We start from the raw sequence: 9,688 nt of genomic DNA, 5'->3' as shown, positions 1-9,688 counted from the left end.
TCCCTGTGCTACAGCCTGAAAACTCCAGAAAATAATCGGGAAAAATCTGACAGCATGCTTCTTCCCATCTCCCAGAGATGACTGTCTCTCCTCTGATGCCCAATATCTTGGAAACCATGGTTTCACAGATGCTGTCCACATTTGGTTGTTTTTGCAAAGGAGACAGCTTTGTTACCGTGTCGTGGCTGAACGTGAAAGCCTCTCCTCATCTTCTCAGGACATTCAGCAGCTGTGGCTCCGTCCCCTCTTCATTATCGTTCTTGTTTATTTCTGCCTTATCTCTTTTTGGGATCAGCCTCACCAAAGATTTGTCATTTTTATTAATATTTTTCAAAAGACCATTTTTTGACCTTGCTGACCCTCTCTATTATCTATGTCTTTCCCATTCCATTAATTTATCTTATCTTTATTATTAATGTCATCATTCTATTATTCTAGGTTGGGTTTATTTTGCTAGGTGTTTTTTTCTAATTTCTAATGATGGGTGCTGAAGTCATTACTTTTCAGCTCTCTTTTATCTTCATGTGGATATCTGAGGCCATAGCTTCTTTCCTAAGTGTTGCTTTCATTGTATGCCACAAGCTTTCCCTAGCAGTCATTCATTTCCATCAACTTCTATTTTTCTAACCTCATTATTTTTTTTATTTGATGCATGGTGAAAATGAGTTCCTCCAGAGAGGGTTTGAATTTGCTCTGTCCAGATCTTGGAGACCCTATCAGTTCTTTAAAGTAAGTTATGGCATTGAGGTTTTTGGAGACCACCCAGGTAGTGTGAATTCAGGCCTAAACCCACTTAAGGGATGGTTTGTGTTCAAGTCATTTCCTTCTTATGCCAAGGTCTGAGTCAGTTGATTTTCCTTATAATACACCAGGGAGATGGCCTGGGTTAGCATCTGATTCACATGGGCATTGAGTGTGCAGCCCTGTGGAGGGGACAATTTGTTGGGGGTAAGCTCCTACCCTCTCCTTCCGGAACTTTGTGCTCTTGGGTAGACCTGGGCATTATTCTTTGTTTCCAGAGACCTTGGGAACTGGAGCATGGGGCCACCCTGGTGGAAAACGCCATCAAGGCAAAGCTGCCTGCCCGCCTTGCTTGTCTTGCTGGTTCCCATCTGATTTGTTTTTATTGTGCTGAGAATTCCTCTGAACTTACCTGACCATAGAAGCTCTTAAGAAGACTTTAAGTTATGTGTGTATTCGAACTAGTTACCAAAGCTACCCTTTTACTGCAAATAAAGGTTACTGCATTTCTTTTACATGAGCATTACATTGTCATTTTATGTCTTATTGACTCAGCCTCAAACGAGGAACCTGCTTCTTTTCTGCTATATCTAAAATCTCTTGATTTCCTTGATATTTTTGATATCTACATTGAACAAGCCCAAATCTCTCCCATCTAAAAAAAAAAAAAAAAGCTTCGTCTCAGCTTTGCCTTGCCTTCTGAGCCTCCCCTTCTCGCCTTCACAGTGAAGCTTCTTAAACACACGGTCCTCCTTTGCAGGGTTATGTCACCAACCTCTTACCCCTGAACTCACTGTCATCTTGCTTTCACCTGCACAACTCCACCGAAACTCCTCAGGCCAGGCCCTGGGGGACGTCTCAGTGACGTGGTGGACTCTGTTCAGCCCCATTTCCACCTCTTGGTAGCCCTGCTCTTCAGGGCCCTTGTGCCTCAGGAGCTGCTGGGGCTGGCTCAGTTCTCTGGTGTGGTCTCTGGCCCCTTCTCTGATGTGCTTCTCTGGGTGCTCCTCCTCCCCTGCTGGCCCTCCGAGGCTGTCATGCCTCCAGATCCTGTCAGCTGCCTCCACGTAGGCTGCTGGTTCTCAGACTTGAATGGTCAGGGCTCCCCGGAAATCTCAATGCACCACAGATGGAGCCCATCCCATGGTGAGCACCTCACACACTGTCATCATCCACCCAAATTGCTCCTCCTTTAGCATCCCCCTGATCCCCTGGTTGTGAGTGCCTGGGCCCCTTCTGGATGTCCTCTTCCCTCTCCTCCCCCGTGCCTCCCTCTTCGTCACACACAGATTCCTTGTCCTCAGCGTCTGTGGATGTCTCTGCTGTCCTCCATCTGTGCTGATCATAAATGCAGCAGCTTCCTTAGGCTTCCAATCTTCCTGACTGTGTCAATCCATCCTCCATGGGCAGCTTGGGCACAGCACTGCCAGGGTCCCGGCAGGCACCCCGGGAGGTAGGTGAGCACTGGCTGAGGGCTCTCCAGGCACTGGAGGGTGACAAACAGCCCCTGGGCCCCTCCACTTCCCTCCCTGCCCACCCTGAACCCCACCTGTCAGCCATGCGGGCAGTTCTCAGACGTGCAGGCTCTCATGCACTGGCCTTCTATGCCTCATCTTTCCCTTTGTTTTTCACACTTTGCTCCCTCTTTACAGAACTCTTGTCTCCCCTTTACAGAACTCTTGTCTCCCCTTACCAGAGCACACCCATGACCCCCAGGGTGGCTCGTAACTCAGGTCTGATGAGCATCTGTGTCCTTGTCACTCCTGGACCGTTTCCCCCACCAGAGAAGCACGACCCTTGGTATACCACAGGCACTTCATCAATATTCACCACTTGCGTGAGCGCTGACCCAGCATGCGTCAGAGGCAGGGCACAGCTCACCTGCAGCCTCCCTCATCACCCCCAGGCCTCGGAGCATCACAGGTCTGTTCTGCAGCCTTCGTTGAAATCACAGCAGCAGCATTGATTAATTCTGTGTATCAGAGACATCATGAAGGCCTTCCCATGCCTAACCTCCTTAATCACTGTAACAGCTATGAGAAGACGGCCTTTCGATCAGTAACTCTGAGGCTCAACAGCTCATTCCCACGGTAGGCAAGCCTCGGGGGTGGGTCGTGAACTGCCCTCCCTGTGCTGTGGGTGAACAGAGCTGCTGGTGGGGTCCAACAGAGGTGGGCCTTCCCACACTGCGATCATCTGGCTTCCCGTCTACCTCTGCGCTGAGCCGTGCATCCCTGGTCAGGGGATTTCAGCCCACTCACCACTGCATCCCTGGTTCCTAGTGCTGAGATCACCCCCTGGGGGGCCCTGTGGCTCTGTGAAGTAAACAAATGAGTGGACTATTTTACCAAATTCAGGCCACAGGCCTCAGAGACAGAAGGGAAAAGAAGTGTGATGACTTCTCAGCCATGGCAGAGGGCTCAGCGGAGCCACCGCGGGAGGTCCGAGTCCCGCATCTCATGCTTTCAAACCAGCAGTTTTCAGGTGGCATCAATTCCCAAAGATTGGAAAAAGAATCAGAGTTAATTTAGGGGAGAAATCTATTCTTACTAAGTCAGCCGTGTCGCAGAGGTGCAGAGGGACAGGAGGAGGAAGCTGGCATACCAGGAAGTTATGGCCTCCCTCAAAAGCTCCAGGTTGGAAGGAATGCACCCTATGGGCACCTTGCTGGCAAGGTCTGGAAAGCGTGATGCCCTCAGGGCCACCAGCCCATTGCTAGAGACATGCCCACTCGCATATGCGGGACAGACTTCCTGTCCGGGAGGGCTCAGCTGCCCCGCCCACCTTGTTTTCCTGGGACTTGGAATGGAGGCTCTTACCTGTCAGGCAGCAATATGGAGTGGGGAGGATCCAGGCTTCTTGGAATCTTTAATCCTCAGGTGTTTAATGGGGCCCATGGAGACCACCAGGCCTTGGGGATCTTGCCTATGTGGCAACAAGCACATCGAATTTGTAGAGTTCTGATCTAGTAGAAAAAGACAGCCACGCCACTACCCCTGACGGTGCTGGGTGCAGCCAGAGGCTGGCACAGCTTGGGGCAGAGAGAGCCCTGCCCAAGGACTAGGAGCCATGGGAGCTGAGAGCCACAGGCTCAACCCCCCACCAAGATCGGAACTCTGACTGTGTCCCAGGTGGACCTGAGTCTGGAACAACTGGGAGAGGGCTGGCCTGGTCTGGGTGAGCAAGGAGGCCAGGGCACCCACAGGAAGAGCTGAGGGCAGTTGATGGCACGCTGGCTGGTGGTAACCTGGGCACCATGCATTTCAATCCCACCTCGTCTCCCTTCCCTTCCACTTTTCATCACACCTGAGCCTCCTTCTGCCCCAAGGCCCCTCCCCCACAGCCTGCAGAGCAACTTGGGGACGAGGCAGGAGCAGTGGCCGCTTGTGTGGCTCCTCCAGGAGAACTCCTTTGTAGAGAACCAAGTGTTGGCATTGATAGGGGCAGACACCACTGAGCACCTGCCTGTGGGCAGAAAGCTGCTGGTGTGGGACAGGGTAGCCTGCGTCACATGGGCATGTGGCACCCGCCCCAGGGCTGCTTCTGGGCCCAGCCCCGGCCACACACAGGCCACCTGCCGTTGACTGGGCTGTGGAAGACACTGGAGGCTTCCTGCCCCAGGCCTGCCTTCTGGGCTTCTGTCCCTGGAGCTGCTGCCTCCCAGCTCTCTGCTTTGACCTCCTGTCCTGCCTGTTTCCCATGTCCCCACCTCCCTGGCCTGAGGCAGCCCTGCACAGAGCTGTGCTCATCACAGGGACATTTGGCTGCTTCATGCATCTCTCTGGGCATGTGTCCCCCGTCCTGCAGGCCCCTGCACCGAGCTGTGCTCATCAGAGGGACATTTGGCTGCTATGTGCATCTCTCTGGGTGTGTGTCCCCCTTCTGCAGGCCCCTGCACCGAGCTGTGCTCATCAGAGGGACATTTGGCTGCTTCATGCATCTCTCTGGGTGTGTGTCCCCCTTCTGCAGGCCCCTGCACCGAGCTGTGCTCATCACAGGGACATTTGGCTGCTTCATGCATCTCTCTGGGCGTGTGTCCCCCTTCTGCAGGCCCCTGCACCGAGCCATGCTCATCACAGGGAAATTCCACTGCTGTGTACGTCTCTCTGGGCATGTGTTCCCCCTCCTACAGGCTCCATTCCAAGCCCCCTACCTCGTCATCTCCCCGGATGCTTCCGCCTGCAGAGTCCCTAACCCAGCATCTCACAATCTAACGTCTCACTATGTCCAGTATTTCCCATCTGCCCGCACTCTGGCCCTTCTCCCTCCCACAGAAGCCCTTCCTCCAGACGCCTGGGCTTCATCCCGTCCCCAGCCCTCCCCTCTCCTCCTCCACGCTACTCCAGCCACACCCACCCTCAGGGAGGCACTGGACCCGGGAGTGGCCGAAGTCGCAGTGGCCTTCAGTCTACGGAGGAGGTAGCCCCCAGGGCTGGAGGGGAGGAGCTGGGGGAGCAACAGCTAGGGTCCACTCCCTCCTACCCCACCCTCTGTCCCGTGCCCTCTTAATCGTGCCCCACGCTGAGCTGGAGGCCAGGGCGCCCTTAGGTGTAATCCATAAGTGCCCATTCCCCACATGCAGCAGGAGGAAGGCCAACGTTGGGTCTGGAGGGGCCACATGGAGCAGGAGGAAGGCCGAAGGTGGGTCTGGAGGGACCTCATGGAGCAGGAGGAAGGCTGAGGGTGGGTCTGGAAGGACCTCATGGAGCAGGAGGAAGGCTGAGGGTGGGTCTGGAGGGACCTCATGGAGCAGGAAGAAAGCAGTGGATGGGTCTGGAGGGGCCACACGGAGCAGGTGGAAGGCGGAGGGTGGGTCTGGAGGGGCCACAGAACCCCAGACACACTGTGAGAGCACTCTTTCTTGCCAGGCACACTCCTGCCTCTCCCTTCTGCAGTTAAATTCCCTAGAGCCATCTCTCCTTGCCGTTTCCTGTCCTTCCACTCCCGTCTGTTTCTAGCCCTCAACAGCCTCCACTCCACTCTCCTTGGGGATGGTTGCCGCTGGTGTCCCTGGAGCCGCAATGCAGGCCCCCGGGGGACTCTAAGACCTCGGCCCATGGCTCAGTGAAGTTCCAGACACTGCCTCTTCCCTAAAGCATCCCTGTCCCTTGGCCTCTGTGAGACCACTCCAGCTCCCCTCCCACCTTTCCGGAACCTTCTCTGCCCCCTGCCCTGGCTTCCAGTCCTGGCTCCTCTACCACCTTTCTGGAACCTTCTCTGCCCCGTGCGCTGGCTTCCATTCCTCGCTGGCCTCCCAGTGTTGGCATCTGCCGTGGTTCGATGGGAAGCCTCCCCACCCCATCCCACAGCCTCTCTCTGGGAAGGCCCCTCCACACCTGCTGCTTTAACGAGCACATTTAGGCTGATGGCTCTCAGATTTATGTCTCCTGAGCTCTGCTGCCAAGCAGGGCCCCACCAGGAAGCAGATGGCATTCACGAGGGGCTTCACTGCAGGGCCTGTTTACAAGTGTGTGGGCTTCACAAGGAAAACCAACAGAATCGGCACTAGCAGGAAGCCGGCATCACCCCAGGTTGGAGGAGACCAGGGAAGGGAAGTTAACAGAATGTGCAAGAGCCAGAGAGTCTTTGGGAGAGTGGCATGGCCCACCCATGATGAGAGAGAGGGGAAGGGAGTGCCAACACCTCCATCTCACCCCCTCCCCCGCCCCCACGCCCCTTGGCCAAGCTCACCCGGAAGCCAGGGGCAGGGCGGTGTAGCCCAGTCAGCCTCCCAGGGCCACAGCTGCATGGAGCCGCGCAGAGGGATCTGATAGGGTGGCAGTGGAACCAAATAGCCACCATAGAGGAGCTGCCCAGGCTGCAACGTGGAACCGAATTGCCTGGCTCGACTTCACACGTCACCTCCCGTTAGCTGTGTGACCTTGGGTTAAGCTACTAACCACCCTGTGCCTTGGTTTACTCATAAACTACAGGGGTTGTGAGTATAGGGTTGCTGTGAATTAATTAGGATAATGCTTGTAAATCACTTCTAAACGTGTCTGCTGCACAGTAAGGACTTTGTAAGCCTAAGTTGTGCTGACTGATCTCCGTCAGCGAAGGCTGGGGCACCCCAAACTCAGTTTGTTTAACCCCCATTCCCCCAGGTCAGGCTCTGCCAATGCCGGCCCACCCAGCATCCGCCACCCACACGAAGGCTCACCCTGATAGTGCTCCTCCCCTCCTCCATGGCCAGTTCACAGCCACGCCGCCGCCTGAGCACAGCCTCTTTTTATTCATGCGTAGCTCTGCAGCTCCTGGCCGGCACCCCAGTGCCATAGCATCAGCTCCCACAGGCCTTTCTTAAGAGGAAAGAACCTCCCCCAAAGCCCTCCCCCAGGACCTGCGGGTCTAAATGAGGTCATGAGCCCAAGATTGGCCCATGGCTTTGACCTAGGGAATGCCTCGCTCCGATTGGTGAGACCTGACTTTCTGCACCAGTCCCTGGGTCCAGGGAACACGCCCCTCCCGGCCCAGGCAGGCAGCCTCCACTGCGGGCAGGTGGCCATCGCCCTGTCGACTTACAACAACCCTGTATGTTGTTGTTCAAACTGAGACATAGGAGGGAAGTGGGGAGTGATGGCTAAACACCAGGAAGGCAGGCTTACGTGGAGAGTCCCCAGGGAAACGCAGTCATGTGGTCACACCAGCTGCTTCCCAGAGCAGCTCCAGGGGCACCGCAGGGCCTGTCTTCATAGCTGCCTGCCCCTCCCTGCCTGGCAGGAATCACTGTTTCATTTTATCAAGGAGATAGAATTGAATAAGTGTGACACATTAACTGGTAAAATAGTAACAGGAGAAGAGCTTGGTTTCTAATACAAGCGGCTGTCCTCTAGCTGGCTCCTAGCCCCCGCTCGGTTTCTAATACAAGCGGCTGTCTTCTAACTAGCTCCTAGCCCCTGCTTGGTTTATAATACAAGTGGCTGTCCTCTAGCTGGCTCCTAACCCCCGCTTGGGTTCTAATACAGGCAGCTATACTCTAGCTAGCTCCTAGCCCCTGCTCGATTTATAATACAAGCGGCTGTCCTCTAGCTGGCTCCTAGCCCCTACCCCACCTTGTTGAACCCTTTCAATTGAACCTTCTACTAATTGCCTTTCTATTTCAAATAAAATTCCTATACCACCATTGGCAATTTTTGTCTTTCAGTTCTCTGCATCACCCATTGGCTTCCTACAACAAGAGGTGAGAATTTAGCTCACCTCCTCACCTCATTCTCCAACAAATCAGGAGCTTTACCACACCCACTTACCTTTGGTGTCTTTTCCCACCAAGGACAGAGGGTGTCTGCTGACTCCCCTCTTTATAAAACAAAGATATGTATACTCAGCCTCCTCCCTTCTATGGCTAACTCCTGTTGGGACTAAGGAGGGTGTTCTCTGCATTTGGTTCTGGAGTCACTGTTAAGCCTCTGGCACTGGCCCTGAAAGTCGATTCTCAGCTTCGCAGATCTGTGAGGAATGATCGCGCCGTGGTGCTGTTGAAATACTTACCAAATACCGCATGAAATACGCTTCCTCCTCCTTGGACAGCTCTGCCCTGCCACCTCAAGTTTCTGTCTTTTTCGTCATCATTACCGTGATCACATTTCCATTATTTTTTTCAAAAATTTCATATATTAAAGGCCCTTTTGAGTGCCTCCTCCCATCACTCCCCACAGATGTGCCTGGGTGGGCCTCCCACCCTGACGTCCACTGTGCGGGTGCTGTCCTGAGACCCGCTTCCCGCTCACTGCCCCCATTCCTAGGGCCGCCTCTGTCTGGGTTACCTCCTTCGTTGTGCAGGGGAACATCCTCAAAAGTATAAGAGACAGGCTGGGTGCGGTGGCTCAAGCCTGTAATCCCAGCACTTTGGGAGGCCAAGGAGGGCAGATCACTAGAGGTCAGAAGTTCAAGATCAGCTTGGCCAACACAGGGAAACCCCATCTCTACTAAAAATACAAAGATTAGCCAGGCGTGGTGATGGCCACCTGTAATCCCAGCTACTCAGGAAGCTGAGGCAGGAGAATTACTTGAACCCAGGAGGCGAAGGTTGCAGTGAGCTGAGATTGCGCCACTGCACTCCAGCCTGGGTATCAGACCGAGACTTGGTCTCAAAAAAAAAAAAAAAAAAAAAGGTATAAGAGACACTGTGGGGAGCTGTATTCCAGAGTTGCAGAGGTCTTGGATACTCTAGGAAGGTGAATGTTCGTTTAGAATCTGCTTCCACCATGTCTGTTTCCCGCTTTGGAATGACTTCAGTCCACAGCAGGAACCCAGCAGCGCCGGCCGGCGGACCAGACCCAGCCGCGCCTTTGTTTGCGCATCAAGGTTCTCTGGCACTCAGCTCATCCAGCAGTTTGTCTCCTGCCTACGACGGCCTTCACTCTCCCAGGGTGGCGATGGGCGGTGGTGACAGTCTGCTGAGACTGGACTTCTGCAGTGTGGGCCTCTGAGCAAAGCGTGCCCGGCCTGCGATAGAGCGGACCTGCGGAACACTCTGGATGCCGCCGTGTTCTGTGTCCGTGTGGTGCGCCATGGCAGCCACTGCCCTGTGGGGTTGCTGAGCCTTCGCCTTGTGGCAAGTGCGTCTGAGGAGTGGGATTCTCAACTGCGTCTGATTTGGATGAGTTTTCATTTTAGGGTAAGCCTCACATTTGCTGGTGGCTGCCGTGTGGGACAGCTCCTGGCTGGCTGAGCCCGTGTCAGGCCTTGGGGAAGGCTGGGCCTTGGCACAGTGTAGGGGGAGGCTGGGCCGAGGATGCAGGAGCCTGGGAAGGAGGGCCCGGCCCTACCATTGCGGGCGTGTGGAGCCCAGTCACCCACCCTCGGGACTGTTCCCTTTTGGATCTGTGGAGAGCACTCAATCCTCCTCCTCGGACCACAGGTGGAGGCCGGGGGAAAGCGAGGGGCCTCCCCGAGTGCAGCACTGGCTTCTCGGTTGGCAGAGGTGGTGGCTGGTTGGGGAGCTTTC

General features: G+C 54.8%; 2 annotated features.

Moving 5' to 3' along the window:
• Positions 2,439-3,017: an enhancer, noted in NCBI's record as "H3K4me1 hESC enhancer chr8:142990634-142991212 (GRCh37/hg19 assembly coordinates)". NCBI's record gives its function as "activates a minimal SCP1, AML or CMV promoter by ChIP-STARR-seq in naive H9 embryonic stem cells {active_cell/tissue: H9 hESC(naive)}" and the evidence as "EXISTENCE:reporter gene assay evidence [ECO:0000049][PMID:30033119]".
• Positions 3,018-3,597: an enhancer, noted in NCBI's record as "H3K4me1 hESC enhancer chr8:142990054-142990633 (GRCh37/hg19 assembly coordinates)". NCBI's record gives its function as "activates a minimal SCP1, AML or CMV promoter by ChIP-STARR-seq in naive H9 embryonic stem cells {active_cell/tissue: H9 hESC(naive)}" and the evidence as "EXISTENCE:reporter gene assay evidence [ECO:0000049][PMID:30033119]".

The sequence above is a fragment of the Homo sapiens genome, chromosome 8 (genome assembly GCF_000001405.40).
Source record: "Homo sapiens chromosome 8, GRCh38.p14 Primary Assembly".
Taxonomy (NCBI): Eukaryota; Metazoa; Chordata; class Mammalia; order Primates; family Hominidae; genus Homo; species Homo sapiens.
The sequence above is the reverse complement of the archived record's forward strand: the minus strand, read 5'-3'. Positions and strand labels throughout refer to the sequence as shown.